Below are 20,151 nucleotides of genomic sequence, written 5' to 3'. Positions count from 1 at the left end.
CCCCCAGCTCTCGCTCTCAGACGCTCAGCTTAGCTGGGACTCGGTGTCCCACTGTGATGCCTCTGCATGGGGTACCACCACAACCCGCTCACTGCATGATCCTGCGCCTGTCAAGTCCCACCTCACCTTTAGGGAAGTGGACTCTGGCCCTGAGGGCCTGTCCTGCTCTGTGCACCTGCCCGCCCGGGGTGTCCTTTCTACCACAGCATTTCTCACACGGCATCACAATAGCCCGTCTGCCTTTCTACGGCCCCAGTACACAGTGCGCTCCCTGAATGCACAGCCGCCTCTCGTGTCTCCAGCACCCTAATGAGACGCCTGGCACTCACTAAGGGTTCGGCAAATGCGGAGTGAACGGGTGAGGACGGAGCCCCTCCCATGGCAGGAGCACCTGCCCGTCTTCTCATGGACATGCCTGGCACTTGGCAGGCTCCTGGTGAGCGCGCGCCAGATGAAGCAGTGGGTGAGGGCTCCTGGGTCTCACCTGACTTCCCTGATGACAGCCTGGGCCAGGCTCCCGCTGCCTTGCATGTGCTCATCGGAGCAGATGAGCTCCAGCGGCATGGAAAGATTCTTCACCAACTGTAGCCACGCCTGGGGACTGGGCTTCAGGGTGTTTCTTGTCAGCATCTCCGTGCAGGCCATTGCGGCAAATGCGTCCAGGGTCTGGGGAGACGGACAGCAGGGCGTGGCTGAGCGGTGCCCCTCCCACCGGCCCACCAGAGGCCCCGGCTGTTAGCTGCATGTATACTTGTGTCCCAGGCTTGCGACCTAAACTTTCATTGTCTAGGATGTGAGAAGCGTCAGCGAGATGTGTCCTTAACATCTCTGAATTCAGCTAAGGTATGTGCCTTGTGAAGAAATCTCCCACTTGGAACACAGCCCCAGAAGCTCTCCATTCCCAGAGTGGAGTTGGAAGCACCACAAGGCTTGCTCAGGGCAGGCGGAGGAGGGCCATACCATCTCACATCCAGCCAGCTCATGGTTCCAACGGGCTTCCATCAGGCTGTGGAGAACCTGAGGGTAGATGGTCAGGATTCTGGAAAAGTTCTGCAGACGGCTTCTGAAACGCTGGTAGGCAAGGTGCACCCACGGTAAGGAAACCTCTTCCTCGGGCGCTTCTGACGCCGCTTTCAGTTTCCTAGTGCAGGACCACAGAGCCATCTGCAGAAACTGGGATTCAAAAAAGCTTTTAGAATATATTTTTAAATTACAAAAATGGTATGTTTTCCCCGTGGGAAATCCGAACTATTGGAAAACCATAAAAGAGGAAATTAGAAACCATGTGTGCTATTCTGTCCCGTTTGCTTCTGTCCAGTTTTCTATCTGCCTCTCCTCCCACGTTAAGGTCACCGTGTCGTCTGGGCTTTTTGCCACTGAACATGACATCATGAACTTTCCCTATGACTGAGTATACTTGAAAAACATGGTTTTAATGGCTGCTCAATAACCCATCATACGGCCATACTTTAATTTGCCCATCCTGTATTTCCGGACAATTAAACTATTTCTTATTTTTCGAAGCAAAGCTGAAAAGGACATCCCTGTGAACCAAATATTTGTCCACATCTCCAGTAGTTTCCTCAGGACAGAGTCAGCAGTTCAGATCGGATAAGGTGCTCAACTGTTCTGCCACGCAGCCCTGCAGGGCGCCCACTGTGCACGCTACACTGTCAGCCGCGTGGCCTGGCTATTTCTTTGCAGCACTGGCCGGCGGCTGTTGTTTTTAAAAATCAGCTTTGCAAAATGAATACGTAAACATGATATCTAAAAACTGTTGTGTTGATTTGCTATTAATAGTAAGGCTAAGCAATTTTTCAAATGTTTCCTGGATGTTGATATGCTTAATGAGATTATAAAATTGTTGTTTTATAACGTTTACCCATTTTTTAAAACTTAGGGTATTTTCTTATTGATTCCTAAGAATATTAACCTCTAGTCATATTAGCTGTAAGGATGTTCTTAAATTTGTCACTCTCCTTTTTTATGTACTGAAGTTTAAAATTTTTAGGTAGTCAAAAGTATGACTTTCTATTGAATTTCACTTGTTTATTCTTACCCTGTAGGGTTAGTTACGTATTTAATTTTTTTCAAGAGAAACTCAACATTTAAAAAGAAGCTATGTCAAGGAAATTGGAGGTCTTCTCATGTTCACAGAAAGCTCCGTGTTTTAGGAGCCCCTGGGCGGTGGACTGAGGGTGTAGCACTGAATATTGAGAGGAGACTGGGCGACCCCTTCACCCACCGGCACCCTTCGCTGACCATGTTCTGTTCCCAGACTTCACAGCACCAGCTCCAGGCAGCTGAGGAAACGTCTCCGTGTCTGCATCCAGTCCCCATCATGCAAGCTCTACACCTGACCCTTAGCCAGTATCTAAACATCTACCTTTAATTCCTCCTCCGTTGACACACGCATGGTCAAGAGAATGAAATCCTTCAAGTAACACTGAAGAAGTTCCTGCTGCGGCTCTCCATGGAGCTGGGCAAGAAACCTGCCCAGAGGAGTCTGCTGAAAGATGTCCACGAACTTCTTGGGCAGTCCTGCAGAGAGGAAACCAAGGAGCGGCCTGGAGTGCGTCTAAGTCATGGCGCTCCCCTGCCTCCAGGGGGCTCCGGAGTGAAGGGGAATGGGGACGCCTTGTTGAATGGGAGCTCGTAGACAAAGGGGTACCAACTGCCTGATTTTGTAGGGAATTGAAGGAATAGTCACTGTCTAGACATTTAGGATATTTTTCTTTTTCCTTTTTTTTGGAGATGGAGTCTTACTCTGTTGCCCAGGCTGGAGTGCGGTGGGTAGCGTGATCTCTGCTCACTGCAACCTCCGCCTCCCAGGTTCAAGTGATTCTCCTGCCTCAGCCTACCAAGTAGCTGGGACTACAGGCATGCACCACCACACCCAGCTAATTTTTTGTATTTTTAGTAGAGACGGGGTTTCACCATGTTGGTCAGGCTGGTCTCGAACTCCTGACCTCAGGTGATCTGCCGGCCTTGGCCTCCCAAGGTGTTGTGAACCACTGCGCCTGGCCTAGGATATTTTTCCAGTGGAATAAAATAAAGGAAGGCGGAAACAGTGTCAAATTTAGGTCAGAAACAGCCAAGCTAGCCCCAAAGAGAAACATCTAGATAAGACTGAGTTGTATGTTGCATGGCTACATTGTATGTTGCATGGCTACAGGTCACAGCATGCTTCAGGAACCCCCGGGTCCAAGTAAATTAGGAACAAGTGGGCTGCTCTTCAGGGGCTGGGGGTCACAGAGCATGCAAGCCAGAAAGATCTGGCTTCTAGTGGGCGGGGTGCAGCCCCTAATTCGCATGCTGTCATAGAAAAGCAGGGTCAGTTGGGGTATTGTCCTGAGAAAGGAATATGCTCATGAGGAGAGAGACTGCTTTGAGAAAAAGTGGCAGAATGGTAACCTAGAAAAGAAGGCCACCCTGAGTCTTCCAAATGGTACGATAAGTAAACGTGGAAAAGACTATTGCATGTATGAAAGATGGCTTTTGTAAAAGTGTTGCGTTGTCGTTGGTTTTTCTGGACTAGGGCAAATCTTCTGGCATCTGGCAGCAGAGCTCAGCACTGTGTCTGGGCTGTGACTCGGGAGACACAGCTGGGAGGTGCCTCCTGATGGGGCACCTGGGAGTAGGGGATGCTCCAGGCGCTCGTGCCTTCTGAGAACGCCTCTCCTGGGGGCATCTTCCGAGTCCAGTGCCCCAGTCTGAGAAGGCCCAGAATGGGAATGACCAGCTGATAGAGGCGACAGTCCTCCTCTTGCCAGAACACACCCCATTTCGCCATATCCCTGGCCATCACGGCACTAAAAACCATCTCACAGGCTCCTGCTGCCATAGGATCGAAAGGTTTCTGGTCCCGCCGGGGCCTCTCACTCCTTCAGCAGAAACTTTAAAATGACGCGGTGACGTAAATTGGACGCTTACTGCACAAACAAAGTGTGAAAACTAAAAACTCCAAAATTCACCTTGCAATTCTAGCCACCCATCTGCTTTTCACTGTCAGGCAATCCCTTTGTGATTCACCTGTGCTGAATCTGACCTGTCTTGAGGTAGCCTCACCTTCTGCGTCTGTGATGTACTGAGCCTGGACCCACAGCTCCTCCAGATAGTCCTTGATTTTCCAGCTGAAAGGGACGTTGTTGGAAGCGTTCTCGGAAAGGTTCATGTGGTTCTGCACCACGATGTAGGCCATCTCACCTTTATGTCTGCAATAAGGTGAGGGATGATAAGAAGAGGGTTTGTGAGACGTCACTCAAAACACAAGATAAGATCTGCCACTGATGCCAGCTCTTCTCAGACCTCAAAAACAAAGGGGCCAACAGGCCAGGCAGACGGCGCTGATCTGTTTCACAGTACAGGGTTTCTGTTATGACAGAACTAGGGAACTGTCTTATGCAATCTTTGTTTCACAGGCAAAACAAAAACAAACCAAGGCTGACAGGGGTCAAGTGTGTTGCCCAAAATCTCGGGCAGAACCAAGTCTTCTGGTTCCTGAACCTGTCTGGCTTTGATAACTTGTAACACAGAGCACAACTTGTTAGAGTCTTTGCTTCATGAACATCAGCAGCGCCTTGTCTTTTAAATAAGTGTTTCCACTGGCAATTCAAATTCCATTTCTTTCTTTCTCTCACTCTTTCTTTCTTTACTTTCTTTCTCTCTTTCTCTCGCTCTTTCTTTCTCTTTCTTCCTTCTGTCTCCCTCCCTCTCTCACTCTTTTTTTTTTTTTTTTTTTTTTTTTTTTGAGATAGAGTCTCACTCTGTCACCACCCAGGCTAGAGTGCAGTGAGTGGTGTGATCCTATCTCACCTCAAACTCCTGGGCTCAAGCAATCCTCCCGCCTCAGCTTCTAGAGTAGCTGGGACTACAGGTGCGCACCACGTTATGCCTAATTTTTAAATTTTTTGTAGTGATGGGGTCTCACTATGTTGCCCAAGCTGGTCTTCAACCCCTGGGTTCAAGAAACTTTCCTGCCTCAGCCTACTAAATTGCTGGGGTTATAGGCATGAGCCACCGAGCCTGGGCACATTTATTTCTATATTCTTTATAAATCTACATCCAGAATTGAAGCCCCTGAAAGCTGAAGTGGAAGCTATTGGGAGCTGAGCCTGAGCCGCACATCATCAGGCCTGCGGAAGGGGGTGGGGGCTGTGCCGCTCCACCAGGGAATGAGGGACGGGGAGGGAGCACAGATCCCAGGGGTAAGGAGCACAGATTGTGGGGCTGTTCGCAGCGCACTGTCTCCGTGTCACGCCATGCTGGGTCTGGCTAGAACCAGTGCTCTGAAAGCAGGGAAATGAGGAGGGTGGAGATAAAACAGAAATTTCTCAGAGCTTCGTAAACTTCCTATTCTTTTTTTTTGAGACAGAGTCTTGCTCTGTCACCAGGCTGGAGTGCAGTGGCGCCATCTCGGCTCACTGCAACCTCCGCCTCCCAGGTTCAAGCAATTCTCCTGCCTCAGCCTCCCAAATAGCTGGGAATACAGGCACGCGCCACCACGCCCAGCTAATTTTTGTATTTTTAGTAGAGACGGGGTTTCACCACGTTGGCCAGGACGGTCTTGATCTCTTGACCTCATGATCCACCTGCCTCGGCCTCCCAAAGTGCTGGGATTACAGGCGTGAGCCACCATGCCCGGCCAAACTTCCTATTGTTACTGCAGAAAGCACCCATGTCAACGTTGCTCTGAAGTTGAGGGCTGCGTTTCACCCAGCACTTGGGAGAGCATATTAGGGTCCTGCTGTGTTCTGATAGTTTCTCTCCCCAGGGAAAGAAAGCCTTCCACTCACCTTTCATTATTCATCACAAGAGGAATGTTCAGAAGCATCGTGTCACTGAAAATAAACATCCAAAGATCTCTTGCCCAGGGCGGAGTATCTGGCCTGGTCAGTAACTCTAGGTTGCCGTCTCTGTCGATGAATGATATCATGCTCGCCAGCAGAGGGGTGACAGCACCTTGGACCCGCTTCCAGAGGGTGTGCCTGCAGCACAGAAGAGAGATGGGCCACCACGGGTCAGAGGAACCAGAGTGGCGGTCTGCCACCTTTTGACATTTTGTTCCTTCTTGAGCATTAACAAAACAACTAGTCTACTATTTACCACACTACAGCGACAGCAATAACTTGACATTTCCATCATTTTTAAGTCCTAGAAAACAGACTCACAAAGATGTCTAAGATTAGAGACGGAACTGGAATGGAACTTAATTCTACATCTAATAAACTGTCATTAGGTTACTGGAAGGGTGAAGTAGTGTTTGCTTTTTTATTTTTAAAACATGTATGTGAGGGTCTCACTCTGTCACGCCAACTGCGGTGTAGTGACACAATCATAGATCGTCATAACCTGGAATACCTGGGCTCAAACGATCCTCCCACCTCAGCCGTGCAAGTAGACAGGAACAACACACCCAGTGCCACCATGCCCAGCTAATTTTTAAATTTTATTTTATTTTTTGTTGAGATGGGGTCTCACTATGTTGCCCTAGCTGGCTGGTCTCAAACTCCTGGGCACAAGTAATCCTCCCGCCTTGGCCTCCCAAAGTATTGGGATTACAGGTGTGAGCCACCGCACTTATCTGCTTTATTTTTTGCAAGGCTGCATAATTTTTGTATGTAACTATTTTTCAGAACAAGTCATCGAGGTTCTCTAAATAAATAAAATTATGACGATTCATTTGGAAAAAATAAATATTTTAAAAATCTGTTGTAGATAGACTATAATACAGATGAAGAGACCAAAATGAATTTGTCCCAGATCAAACTAAACAAGAAGGCACATGTTTATCTGGAACTAAGTATTTGTTCCTGTTGATGTTTTTGTACACTAGATCTGAGTGTCTGATAGACAGGTGGATGGATAGATGGGCGGACGGACAGATGGGTGGATGGACAGGCAGGCGGAGGGATGGATGAATGCACAGATAGGCAGACAGAAAGATAATTGGTTAACTACAAGACATTTTGTTGTTATATATATTTTGTTGTATATATTTACATGTAACAATAATAGCTCTATTTCAAAATTCTTGTGTAAAGGATAAGAATTAAAAGGTGGCTGGGCACGGTGGCTCACGTCTAATCCCAGCACGTTGGGAGGCTGAGGCGGGCGGATCACCTGAGGTCAGGAGTTCGAGACCAGCCTGGCCAACATGGTGAAATCCCGTCTCTACTAAAAATACAAAAATTACAGTCGTGGTGGCAGGCACCTGTAATCCCAGCTACTCAGGAGGCTGAGCAGGAGAATCGCTTGAACCCGGGAGGCAGAAGTTGCAGTGAGCCAAAATCGCGCCATTGCACTCCAGCATGGGGGACGAGAGTGAGACTCTGTCTCGAAAAAAAAAAAACCCCACAAGGTAATTAATGTTGGGGGAAAAGCGAAGCCTCTCTTTTGAAGAGAATAAAAAGAAATACCTACATTTTTTAAATATATAGTACAGAGGAACCTGGCAAGAATTTTAAAATGTCTATTGGGAAAATAAAGCATCCCAGTGCACAGAGGGAGAAAACAGCAAACTAGGAAAAGTGTCGCGAACACAAAAGGCAGAAGGAAAACCCAGGCGCTGGGACAAGCGCTGGGAGAGGCGGGAGCCGCCGAGCCTGGTTCCGCCCTATCTGGAGCCGCTGAGCCTGGTTCTGCTGTATCTGGACAGGCAGGCAGAGTTCGGGACACAAAGGACTCTCAGGATTTGGGCTGTTTAATCCCGAGAGGGCAAAGGACTCCAGTCCCCAGAACACAGTGGTGGTGAATCGAGGTAGTCAGGGTGCTGCTGGCCCTGGGGCAGGTGAGCTGAGGGTGCGGGTCTGGCCACCACTCAGCGGCTGCGCAGGCCTCACGGTGACCACAGAACACGACGGAGCCAGGCCTAGTGCTGCGTGAACAGCAGAGTGGGGAAGAGCAGACTGAGGAGGTTCAGTGACTCAGGGCTGGTCCCGGGGAGTGGAGTCAGGGATTCAAAAGCATCAACAGGCCGGGCACACTGGCTCACGCCTGGAATCCCAGCACTTCGGGAGGCTGAGGCGAGTGGATCACCTGAGGTCAGGAGTTTGAGACCAGCCTGGCCAACATGGTGAAATCTCGCCTCTACTAAAAATACCAAAAGTAGCTGGGTGTGGTGGTGGGTGCCTATAGTCTCAGCTACTCAGGAGTCTGAGGCAGGAGAATCGCTTGAACCCAGGAGGTGGAAGTTTCAGTGAGCTGAGATCGCATCACTGCACTCCAGCCTGGGCGACAGAGTGAGACTCCGTCTCAAAAAAAAAAAAGCATCAAGAGAGTCCACAAGGAGGAACGGAGGGAAATGAAAATATTTCTGATCTCCTAAAATCCCTTCAGAAGGCGTGACAAGGAGAGAAACGAAGGATAACTAGAGAAAAAGTAGAATCAGAAAATCTCTGGTCACGAGGAAGGTGTCTGTAAGTCCCCATTCCCGTTCACCCCGCTTCTTCTCCTGTAAGCCCCCATTCCCGGTCACCCCGCTTTTTCCTCCATGAGCCCCCATTCCCATTCACCCCGCTTCTTCCTCCGTGAGCCCCCATTCCCGTCCACCCCGCTTCTTCCTCTGTAAGCCCCCATTCCCGGTCACCCCGCTTCTTCCCCCTGTAAGCCCCCATTCCCGTCCACCCCGCTTCTTCCCCTGTAAGCCCCCATTCCCACTCACCCCGCTTCTTCCCCTGTAAGCCCCCATTCCCACTCACCCCGCTTCTTCCTCCATAAGCCCCCATTCCCGTCCACCCCGCTTCTTCCCCCTGTAAGCCCCCATTCCCGGTCACCCCGCTTCTTCCTCTGTGAGCCCCCATTCCCGGTCACCCCTCTTCCTCCGTGAGCCCCGATTCCCATCCACCCCGCTTCTTCCTCCGTGAGCCCCCATTCCCATTCACCCCGCTTCTTCCCCTGTAAGCTCCCATTCCCGTTCACCCCGCTTCTTCCCCTGTAAGCCCCCATTACCGTTCACCCCGCTTCTTCCTCACGTTCCCTCCTGCAGATCACACCTGGCTGTAGGCCCAAAGCGAACCTATCACTGGCACAGAAGCTTGGACCTGGAAGGGGACTCATGGAGGAGTCCGCTGTCTTTTAGAGATGGGAAAACTGGGCCCAAATAACCAAGTCACTGGTTTCTTAGGCTTTCAGGCAGGAGGTCTGAGAGTCTGTCTTAAAGAGACCCTCTGTCTGGGGCCCAGAGCACCCCTCCTTCCTCAATACACGGCCACATCCAAGATAATCAAGGTTAGTCTCATGGGTGACAGAAAAATAACCATGGCAGTGAATATACTGCTGGGTCCTGGTTTTGCTGTTACCATTCTTCAAACAGCAGGACTGGGAAAATCCCGCCTGTCCCCTGCCTGCTCTGCACGTCATTTTAACTTCATGACTGAAAACAGCAGCCCTTTCTAGGGTTATCAACATGAATGTCGGTAAATGTTCTACTCTAAGAACAGATGTTTTACTTTTTTTAAGTTTTTAGTATGAAAAACTGTAAACACGAAATTAGAGGAAGAGTCCAGCACCTGCCATTTGGCCACTGTCCAGACCTACTGTGTGCTTCTTGGGGAAAAACTTTACAGCTTTGAATGGCTGAGAGGTTTGGAAAGAAACAGCTCAGTCCCCATGGCCCGGATGGAGAGAGGATCCCTGCAGGCAGGTCCCCATGCTGCCACCAGATTGGAGCCACTCCTTGCTTCCTTTAGTCACAGTACCTGAATGTGCCCGCCTCCTGGAGAGCGTCCTGGTTGCAGGCTTCCCTTGCCAACCACTCCAGAGGGTGAAACTGGCTCTCTTCTTGCTTCTTTAAAAAGACACTGAGGCGCATCTTGGATACCCGCAAGAAAGAGGCTGTACAAAGGCAGAAACAGACGTTCAGCATGGCCGTGGCTGAGCTGTTGGCTCCGGAGTGCTTCTGTCCCACCTCCCCCAGGAAGGGAAGTCCGTTGGCCAGGCCAATTCTAGAGCAAAATCTGAGAGATGCTCTTAGATTCCCACTGTGTCACTGCTTCTGCTGAGCCATGGAAACCTGAGAGGGTGTCCCCCAACACACAGTGAAATGATGCCCACTCCTCAGGAAGAGCCCACGTGGGGGCAGGGGCAAGAGGGGTGGGGAGGCTCATACCGTGGCACGCGTCATCCTCATTCAAGAGGCCCAGGAGGAGCACCACCCTCCGCATATTGCGCGTGCAGCTCTCGTTCTGGTCTCTGAGCATGCCCACGGCGCTCTGCACACAGCTTCTCAGCAGCCTGGTGGTGTCCAGGATCGACACCTGTTGGTGGAGACGGTTGGGTCATCCGTTTCTGCCACTGACACAGTGGGCAAAAGCCAAACCGCCCGTATGCGATGAGGGTCTCAATGCAGCAAACAGCACAGGGCGGCGGTCCTCACGGACAAAGAAGAGACGCCGACCTCCGCCCTGCACCCCCCAAACTGCCGGTGCAGATGCCCTTGACCCCCAGTAACCAGCAACAAGACCGTCACTGTGTGAGGAAAGTGGGGCGCCATCCTCACCCCTGCACAGCGGCGGCGACTCCTCTAGCTCCCAATGCAAAAGCGTTTAAAGATGCAGCTCAGAAGCATCACCAGCAGCACAAGGGGAGGTCCCAAGAACCAGAACTTACATCACTGCCTCCGAGTTCAGAGGTTTCCTTTCCCACCTTCTCAGAACTTTCTGTTTCCATGGCCTCCTCTGCCACCTCTGCCACCTCCCCTGATGTGCTGGCCTCCGTCTCCATCGCCTCCTCATGGCCGTCTTCCGCCCGGTGTTCCAAGCCCACTGCAGTCGAAGCAAACGTGATTGCGTTACCACTCAGAAGGTGGCACAGGGACTGGCAGCGGTGCCATCTGGGAGTCTGTGTGCTCAGCCTCCGAGTGCAGGCTTCCCCGGCCCCTGCTGTGGTGCTAGGTCCCCAGATGAGAGATCACGGTCATGAAGATCAGCCCCCAAGGCAGCCCCTTCCTTCCAGCCTGGGCTCTGGCGTGTTCTAGGTGCTCACTTCCATGGCTGGCCTGCTCACAGAGCTCTACCTCAGCCTGTGGTAAGCGCACCTGCTCGGCCCTGGTGCTCTATGATGAGCCACCAGTCAGTTCTGCAGATGTGTCCCCGAGCTCCTGCCGAGGGACGAAACACGGTGGCCCTGCTCCTAGTGCCATGTGCACGCCACGCTCCACACCTGCCATCTGCCCTTCCACCACCTGCTCCCCCAGGGGCTCCGCCTCGTGACTCACGCTCAGGCAAGTCTCCGGGCGCGAACAGCTGGCTGATGGTGACATGCTGCAGCCTGGTCACATCAGAAACCATGAGGGTGGATCTCCGGAGGTCATCGATGTGGACAGACTGCCACAGCCCTGTGAAGAGTGAAGCCACCCACAACTGTCTTTGTGTCTTTCCCGGCTGCTGCTCAGCCCTAAGCAGGGACATTGCACACCCTGGCTTGTCATTATCTTGCTGCGCAATGAATGACTGGCACCCTGAAGCCGAAACCCTGGAATGGGCCTGCGCAGAAACCACCCAACCCGATACTATACACGACCCGATTCTATGCCCATCGACAGCTTCACCATAAGCAGCAACGGTAAGACCTGCAATGGCCAGCGTGGGAAGGACGCATGGATAAGGCCTGTGGTTCTTTCACCCATGCATTGTTGTATTTGCTGTATCACAGTTAGTGAGGGGTGGGGGACACTGGCAAGGTCTGCCTTCCATTCTCCACGAAATTATTCAAGTAAACTTACTTTCCTGTTTCTGGAATACCAACTTTTCTATGTCATAAATAGCTGGTGACCATTCCTTGGAAAAAAAGAGATCTGAAGATAGTCCGACCCCCGCCACTCTCCCTCCCCGCCAAACAGGCGTATCGGTGCGTTCCTGACAGTGTCTGTCGGGAGTCGGGAGTCTCCACGCCGTGTGACCTACATGCTAAGAGGTGAGGAGCTTGCCTAGAGTCAGTCCAGGAGAGGTGCACGCAGCCTCCCATCCCAGGATTCATGTTTTCATGGTAATCAGTGGTAAGAAATCTAATTGCATCTGGAAAGAATCCTCTTGAGGTTAACAATAATATTCTAATTTCAGACTGTACAACACAGAACCAAATGAGAAACAGTTCCAACATGACTTAAATAAATACACTGACTGGGCTGGGTGCGGTGGCTCACACCTGTAATCCCAGCACTTTGGGAGGCTGGGGCGAGCGGATCATGAGGTCAACGGATTGAGACCATCTAGGCCAACGTGGTGAAACCCCGTCACTACTAAACATACAAAAATTAGCTGGGCATGGTGGCGCACGCCTGTAATGCCAGCTACTTGGGAGGCTGAGGCAGGAGAATCGCTTGAACCCAGGAGATTGAGGTTGTAGTGAGCTGAGATCGCGCCACTGCACTCCAGCCTGGTGACAGAGCAAGACTCCATCTCAAAAAATAAATAGATACAAATAAATAAATAAATACATAAATAAATACCCTGACTGATGTTCTGATCTCACCTCCGTGGAAGCCCACATAGGCTGTTCCTCTTCCCACCCGGGACAGTTTTGTGATGAAATAGACGAAGATACGGTCCTCATTTTCTCGTATTTTGTTGATTTCATTTATAACAGAATACCTATTTAAAGAAAAAAAAAAGAATACCTATTTTAAAAACAAACACACACACAAAAACAAGCAAATAAACAAAGCAAAGCTGTGCAGCTGCAGAAGGGTGTTCTCCGAGCTGTTGGTTCGGTCTCACGGCCACCCGTTCCGATGAGTTTTACATAAACTTCAGAGCCCTGCGATCGTGATTTCTTCTCTCACAAGGGGATGAGAAATCTTCTCTTAGCGGCTCGTTTTCTTCCCCATTCCTGTGTCCTCTGCTTTGAAGTGGCATTCCTTCGTTGACCAGAAACCCTATCTTGTGCTCCTCAATGGGCCTGCCCCGGTGCAGCTAAGGGTGAGGACAGCTGAACTTTCCATTCCTTCTTTTCTCTTAAGCGATGGGGGTCTTGCTGTGTTGCCCAGCCTGGTCTCAAACTCCTGGCCTCAAACGATCCTCCTGCCTCTGCTTCCCAAGTAGCTAGGATTACAGGAAACAGCCCCTGTACCCAGTGGACCTTTCCATTTCAACAAAGAGTTCTGTGCGCAATGCCATTCCCTTCAGATGACCAATGGCCAAAGCCAGTTTCTTGTTGAGATTTAAGCCACGAACTGAAATATGGCATCCAATGCTTCAAAAAGGTCCAGAAATCACTTTTACTTTAAGTAATAAAGGCACAAAGTTAATTCTAAGAGCATCAGACTTCCCCTACAAACACTATAAAAATATCCAATAAATAGGAAAAAAAGCATTTACCTACTGTTGTTTCCCTCGAACTTGAAATAAATTCAAATTGTATAATTCAAAATTAATAATGACCAAAACATGTCTACAAACACAGGCTTCAAAGGCATCCTTTTATAGCTTGTTAATGTTCCATTATTTACACCTCTCGCATTTCACCTTTTTTGTGGGGAGGACAGGCTCTTGCTCTGGCCCCTAGGCTGGACTGCAGTGGTGGGATCGCAGTTCACTGCAGCCTTGACCTCCCAGGCTCAAGCGATCCTCCCACCTCAGCCTTCTGAGCAGCTGGGACTAGAGGTGCACTGTGGAAGGCTAATTATTTTATTTTTTTAGAAATGAGGTCTTGCTCTGTTGCCCAGGCCCATTCCACTATTTTTGTAATGTTATTGGCCTTTTCTTTTTGTCTCTCTTCAGTTTCCCTAATCCCACTTGGGGGAATGAGGCGGGGGAAGAATTGTTATTTTTATTTCTATACTGATTATGATACTATACTGTCTTCAAGGAAAAAATTCTCTAGGACTTCCTACGTTTTGGGTTTTTTACATAGTTTCTGAGAAAAATACTAAAAACATACTTAGCTGAGGCAATGAGCTGGGCGCTACGGATTCCATCTTCAAAATCTGTCTGAAAAATGAGGATTTTACATTTGGCTGTATTCGTTAAACAGTTTCTGAAAGAAAAGGGAAGTTATTCAAGTGAGTTCTCTGTCTTAAAAAAATGGAAAAGAAAATTCCCCAAAGTGATGGGAAACATAAAGGCTACAAAGAAACAGCTACTCAGGTAGGATTTTCTTCAGTAAGAACAGATAGTCCAGGGGAGGAAACCCAAGGAATGCCTCCTAACGAGGTCCGAGGATGGTGCTCTCGGAGGAGGATGTTAGGCCAGACACCGCGTTGCAGAAGATGATGGAGATGAGAGGGATGCTGGGAGAGATTTAACAAGGATCTATTTCACAGTCACGTGACTGTGGCGCTCATTAACCGGCGCGGGTACCATCGCCACGCAGAAGCCACACGGCTGCGGCTGGGGAGGGAGAGGGCAGCAGGGAAGGCAGGGAACCTCACCGGACTTCTTTGAGGAATGAGTACTCGGTGTCAAACTGCTGCAGCCACAGGAGTGTGGGTTTCGGAGCCCTGCCTGTGACCTCTGATTCTAAAATTTCACAGTCGTGACTTGTTAGCAGCCTGGAGAAAGTGGTGATCTACAGAGTTAAGAAATGCAAATTACTTGCCAGACTTCAAGGAAAGGTTGCAAGTCTGCTGCCAGGTTTAGACAGATCCTAGAAACCTGCGATGTTCAGCGCGGTGCAGTTGCCACACAACGGCACAGAATCCAAACCCAAAGGAGTTTCCCAAAACACGGCAGCGCTGGGGCCGAGAGGCCCTACAGGGCCAAAGGCATTGGAGAGACGACCCCACCCTGCCCCGAGGGTGCCTTCCTCTCCTCCCCAGAGGCCCGTGTCTCTGCCTGCTTGGTCCGTACTTGAGATTCTCATGATCCCTTAGGGCTCAGCACAAATGCCATTTCCTGTTATAGTACGACTCATGCTTTCAGATGGAGTTCGTGGTTGGTGCTGTCCCCTTCCCCCAGATGTCAGCAATTCTCCTGTCCCAAAGGTCACTCCCCCATCACAGTGCAAGTCGAAACGTTCCTCGAGGCCTGCTGCTCTAGCCCAGGAATCCCTGCCTCACCACTGAGCTCAGATTCCTACGTCCAGCTGCACGATGCATAGAAACCTGTCCCCGGCGGACATCATCACTAGCCTCCCACAACCTGCTGTCCGTTCCTGCGGTATCTGTCATGATGAAGCAATGTCCACTCATCTAAGGAGGAATCCAGGGGGTCGCCCCGGACCCCTCCACCCCCCATCCCCCCACTGGGTGGTGGTATTGGCCCTGCCAAATTGCCTCCTGAGTATCTCTCGGTTCCATCTGCTCCTCTCCTTTGTACGGTTCCAGCGGCCTCCCTACCGGCCCGTCTTTTCCACAACAGCCTTTCATCAGACTCCCTTCACCCAGCCAGGGAGACAAGCGTGCCTCCAGTGCCCGCTCCATAGGGCTGAGATGTGGCTCTGCAGAGTCACTGAGGGCCTCCAGTAGTTCTCTCTGACTGCACCTCATCGCCCCATCTCAGCACTACAGCCTTGAACCCTAAGAGCTGTCAGCGGCTCTGCCCACAGAAGGCCCTCAGCCTACAATCCCTTCCCGGCCATTCTTCCCCATCGGCGAGGGGCTTCTCCTAGGGAACATCTCATCTGAGCTCGCATCCTGGTCTGCACCGCTCCCCGCTGCCTCTAAGCACAGCATTTATCATATGATATTGATGGCATCTGTTCATGTGCTGGTCTCTCCATGCTCCCTAATGCTAACAAAGGACAAGGGCTACAGATTCATCTGTGCGTCCCTAGTGCCCTTGGCCCAGTCCTGGGACGTGGTACTTTATTTGTTGGTGTGAACACTGTGTATGGTGCTGTTACCAGCATGGTGCACTGCACAGAGCCAGGCACTCAGCACCTGGTTAACTGGACCTACTCCCCACACTTACCGCGGAGGAGAGCTCAGCGTCTCAGCATCTCCCTGCAGGATCCCTAACCGCTGCCTGGGGAAGAATCTTGAATCCTGACACGAGGGATTTAGGACTCTTGGGTGACAGGGGATAGGGTACAAGTGCAGAAAGACAATCACCTCTGTGAAGATGGCGTGGCGCTCCAGGTCTGCCGTGTGCAGGTGTGCCTGAAGGAAATCTGCAAAGGAGTTGTGCCTCTGTCTGTGAAAGTACTCCTGCGACAGCCACTCCGCTGCGAACCCGCCCAGCGAGTAGGCGCTCAGCCGGACCACGGCATCGGGCGTAGCGCAGTTCAGCAGGATCGATTTGGCCTCCTCAGACACCTTCTGGTGAAGTTCCTCCGTCAAGGCCCGGGGACCCTGCCTCTCTATGACCTGCAGCACCACAGACGCGCAGGCGTCCGAGTGGTAGCCGATGAAGACGTCAGAGGGGCTGTATTTGTGCCTCTTCTGGAAATGATGTGCTTTGACATTGATGAACTTCTCCACCCACGCACAGAGCTCCTCCACGATGCTCTTCTGCCATTTCTCCAGCACCGTGTTGATATCCAGATAGTGCTTCTCCAGCCGGTTAATGAGGGGGATGGGAAAGTGTTTGTACACGACGTCTTTCTCTTCAATGACAATCAGGCGGAAGTTGGGGTGAACCCGACATTTGACGCGGTGGGTCCCCAGACCGAGGTCCACGTACTTCTGGCCGCCGAGGTGGACGTAGTACTGGTTGAGTGCGTCGTAGAGGCTCTCGTAGAGGTTCTGCAGGTTGAGAAGCAACACCATCTTGCCTGTTTCCATGCAGATCTTCACACGATTGATGTTTCTGCAGAGCTGGGTGTACTCTTGGTCCTTGGGGAAACCAGAACCAAAAATAATCTCCGGCTGCTGGTCCCCCTCGAAGAATGTCTGCTGCAGGATCTGCAGTGCCACGTAGTTTTTGGTCAGCACGAGTAAGTAGCGGGACTCAGCATCTTCCTGCTCTCCACCCGGCACCTTCTGAGAAGGCCCAAAGATGTTCTGTTTGATCAGCTGCATGGGGCTGACTTCCTCTGAGCACTTGGCCTCGGGCAAATTGGCCAGAAAGATGTCCAAAGCTTGGATGTCATCCTTGCCACTGAAGTTCCTAAGGACAGCCTGTGCAATGTCTTGCGGGGAAGGCTTTCTATTTGAAGCCTTTGCTGCAGCAAAGACCATTTTGATGAGGCTGTAGTAGTCACGAAGCCCGAAGAATTCCTTGTCCTGGCGCTTACACACCGTTTCGTAGGCTTTGGCAAAGGACGCAAAGTACCCTTGGACTCGGTCCTGGACGAGGATGTCTGAGGAGCAGATGCCCTTGGCGCTCTCTATGAGCTCTGTCTCGTTGGGGCTGCCACGTGACACAAAAATGCCCCGGTTCATCTTGGCAGGGTCAAGGGCCCAGTTGGAGATGCCCACGAAGCCGACCTTTTTGTGGGGGGCGGGATCGTCTTCAATGCATCCGTCTTCCAGCAGCGGGTGCAGAGTCTTCAGGGGCATTTTGGGTGAGTCTTCCGCCAGCCCCACCTCATCTAACACCACCACAGAGACGTACTGCTGCAGGTCCTTCCCCTGCTGAAAGCGGGCGCACTGCCGGAAGGTGCTGATGATGCCCTGTGGGGTGGAGTGCGGGCTGCACTGGAAGGACACCAGGTGGACCTGCTTCAGGCTGCGGAAGAGATCTGAGTAGGCAGCCGGGCCCTGCATGGCGTCTGCCACGATGGTCTTGGCGAGAGACTTGGAGCTGCCGGGCTTCCCCACCAGGAAGAGGGGAATCTTCAGCTCGATGCAGACGACCATCATGAAGACGTTCTCCTTCAAGGCCAAGTTCTTGGCGATGGTTTTCCTCAGAGGTACGCCGTCCAGAAAAAGATCCTGTGCCCGTGTTATTTCATCCAGAAGCAGCCTGCTGTCGTCATACGGTTTCGGAAAGAACCTGGCGATGGCTTTCCGATATGAGTCTTTCTTTTCTAAAGAGGCATGGTAACACACCCCGATGGCCAGCATCAACGACCAGAGGACGGGATCTCTCTCGGTGTGATTTTTGCTGACGCTGGACTTGGAGAGAAAGGCATTCAGCTGCGCTAAGAGCATCGCGCTGTGCTCGTGGAACCACCTGAAAACTTTCACACAGCGCTCCACGTCCCTGAGGCTGACAAAGCTGCACTCATCTTCTGTTTTCCTCATGAAACCCTGAGAGGCGCAGAGGACTTCTGTGATCACGCGAGTCCCGTTTTCATCTAGGCTGATGGACTCAACCAGTCTCTGGACAATCTGCTGGATGTAGAGCTTTTCAGCAACGTCACTCAGTTGTCCAAAGTCCCACACCAGAGGAATCAGGCTCGGGGGCAGAGCATGGACCCGGTATACCAGCTGCCTCAGAGGAATGGAGCCCAGCCTGTCGGCCGTCTCCTCCATACTAACCCTGTAGCCCAAACCAGCTGACTCCAAACGGCAGATCATCTCCTCAGAGTGCTTCCGGTATGGATTGCAGGCAGCTATAATATGCAGGCCAGAGTCCTCAGCCAGAGGCTGGCCATCCACCATATGATCACACAGGACTTCTTTGATACAGCTTATAGCTTCCGTTGTGTTGGCTTCATCAAAAAACAAGATGGTGTCCAACTGATGTTGGTCCTTATTGGCGAAGGCCACATTTTCAGCCTCCCTGACTCTGGAGTAGATCATGTCTGCAGTTGTTCCTCCGTGCACCTTGACCAGCTTTATGGTGTCAGCATTGGTACCACCACGCCGCAGGTCGCTAAGGAATTTAATAAGCCTGGTTTTCCCACAGCCAGTTTCTCCCATGATGATAACCGGGATCCCACACCGGAACCGCATCTCGATGGCAAGGATTTTAAGCATATTGTCGGTTGTGAGCTCATACGTTTTGTCGGGGTCGGTGGCCTGGGGGATCCCTAAGGTCAGGCAGAGCCTCTCAAGTTTCTTGTGTCTGGGCAGTTTATCAAAGTCGACATTGAAGGGCACCCTCTGGAGCAGCAGGCCCTGGTACAGGTCCCTGGTCATGACGTCTCTCTTGATGACCTTCCCAGTCAAGTGACTGATGGCATCGACACTGCCGTTGATGTTGGGCTGCAGATGGAAGCCGATGAATGTCATGGTTGTGTGGTCGTCATTGAAGAAAACGTATGGGTGAGGCTCCGACTCCCACCTCTTCCGGAGGGAGAAGGGCGCTAGATCTTCTTCCCTAACCCCATCCATGGTGACCATGTGCTTCCCCGGGCTTTGGTCAGAGGTGTGGAGTGATGGTGTGGCAAAATCTCTTGCCATAAAGATCATGAAGGTCACCACGAACTTCTTGAAGCCCCTCAGTGTGTCGCCAATAAAACTCGGATTGCAGAAGAGAGAGGCCTCACAATCTCTGAGCTGATAATTCAGGAACCGAGCAAAGTTCCGAAGCTCTGACCAGGATGGGTTTATTACCCCGCAGTGAAACAGGAAATGCTGGAGGCATTCCTCCGGGGTGCCTTCGACAGAGCCTTCTTGATACTGAAACGTGTCTAGGTCTTGGTTTTGATTGAATCGTCTTAAATACTGGTAAGGTCTTTGGAAAGTTTCGCTGCAGAACTCCCACAGATCCATCCCAGGCTCTGTGTCACTCCTCAGGGCACTCAGCTCCATGTCTATCACCTCTTTGGGAGGCCTGCAGGTGACTTTTGGGAAGATGTCAAGAAAACTGAACTGGGGTACACGTGTACGCTGGAAAGGAGAGACATTAATGAAATGGTTACAAGAAGACTTTCTAAGAAATGCTTTTGTGTCTTAACCCTCCACGTTATCTATATTGGATGGACCTTTATGAAAAACGCACTGAAAATATGTAGCTTTCTGTATAGTCTTTTTTTCCACAGCATATCTTTTGCACATTAAGTAAGGCATTGCTGTGGGAGCTGCGTTCTGAGCCAGGAAATCACTTTCTAACCCAACTTCCTGAAACTAAGTTTCTCCACTAAGCTATACATGTATTATGTATGTGAGTGAACATAAAACTCTCTTTTGCTAAGAAATTTTTGACAAACATCTCCTTCTCATCTTAGCTGGCATTAGGAAAGGTGAGGTCTTTCAACAGATGAATTTCCTAGATTCAGAGCACAGCTGGGATTCAGACTGGGCATACAGCATGAAGCCTGAATTGAACAGAAATATTGAAGACACTGCTAATTAACAGAAGAGTACTTTTATCCCAGACATGATTAAAAAGTGAGTTTAAAGATGGGCTTTTCTTTACTAACACTGCATTCAGCTGCTGCACT

At 50.9% G+C, this 20,151-nt stretch overlaps 1 protein-coding gene and 1 long non-coding RNA gene across 12 annotated transcripts in view; one reads left to right on the top strand and one right to left on the bottom strand.

The window, feature by feature from the left end:
• Positions 1–12,445, top strand: part of RNF213-AS1 (RNF213 antisense RNA 1) — a 63,339-nt gene extending 50,894 nt beyond the window's left edge. Inside the window, exon 2 of the long non-coding RNA NR_029376.1 lies at positions 8,987–12,445. This is a non-coding gene — a long non-coding RNA (RNF213 antisense RNA 1). The remainder of the gene's footprint in view (positions 1–8,986) is intronic.
• RNF213 (ring finger protein 213) overlaps positions 1–20,151 on the bottom strand; it is a 137,943-nt gene that overhangs the window by 34,520 nt on the left and 83,272 nt on the right. For 9 of the 11 annotated variants that reach the window (XR_007065355.1, NM_001256071.3, XM_047436482.1 and 6 more), the window contains 13 exons: positions 15,989–19,597; positions 14,369–14,505; positions 13,879–13,974; positions 12,472–12,590; positions 11,216–11,335; positions 10,609–10,763; positions 10,109–10,256; positions 9,699–9,834; positions 5,796–5,987; positions 4,069–4,214; positions 2,387–2,541; positions 961–1,173; positions 485–666 (listed from right to left, as the gene is read on the bottom strand). Coding sequence is in view for 10 of the 11 variants with exons in the window: in NM_001256071.3 (NP_001243000.2) it covers positions 485–666; positions 961–1,173; positions 2,387–2,541; positions 4,069–4,214; positions 5,796–5,987; positions 9,699–9,834; positions 10,109–10,256; positions 10,609–10,763; positions 11,216–11,335; positions 12,472–12,590; positions 13,879–13,974; positions 14,369–14,505; positions 15,989–19,597 (5,408 nt within the window). In the remaining variant the exon portion in view is untranslated. Of the gene's footprint in view, positions 1–484; positions 667–960; positions 1,174–2,386; positions 2,542–2,651; positions 3,933–4,068; positions 4,215–5,795; positions 5,988–9,698; positions 9,835–10,108; positions 10,257–10,608; positions 10,764–11,215; positions 11,336–12,471; positions 12,591–13,878; positions 13,975–14,368; positions 14,506–15,988; positions 19,598–20,151 lie in introns of those variants that run through there. The other 2 variants (XM_011525087.4, XM_047436484.1) reach the window with 1 other exon arrangement.

Source organism: Homo sapiens, chromosome 17, assembly GCF_000001405.40.
Source record: "Homo sapiens chromosome 17, GRCh38.p14 Primary Assembly".
Lineage (NCBI taxonomy): Eukaryota > Metazoa > Chordata > Mammalia > Primates > Hominidae > Homo > Homo sapiens.
The sequence above is the reverse complement of the archived record's forward strand: the minus strand, read 5'-3'. Positions and strand labels throughout refer to the sequence as shown.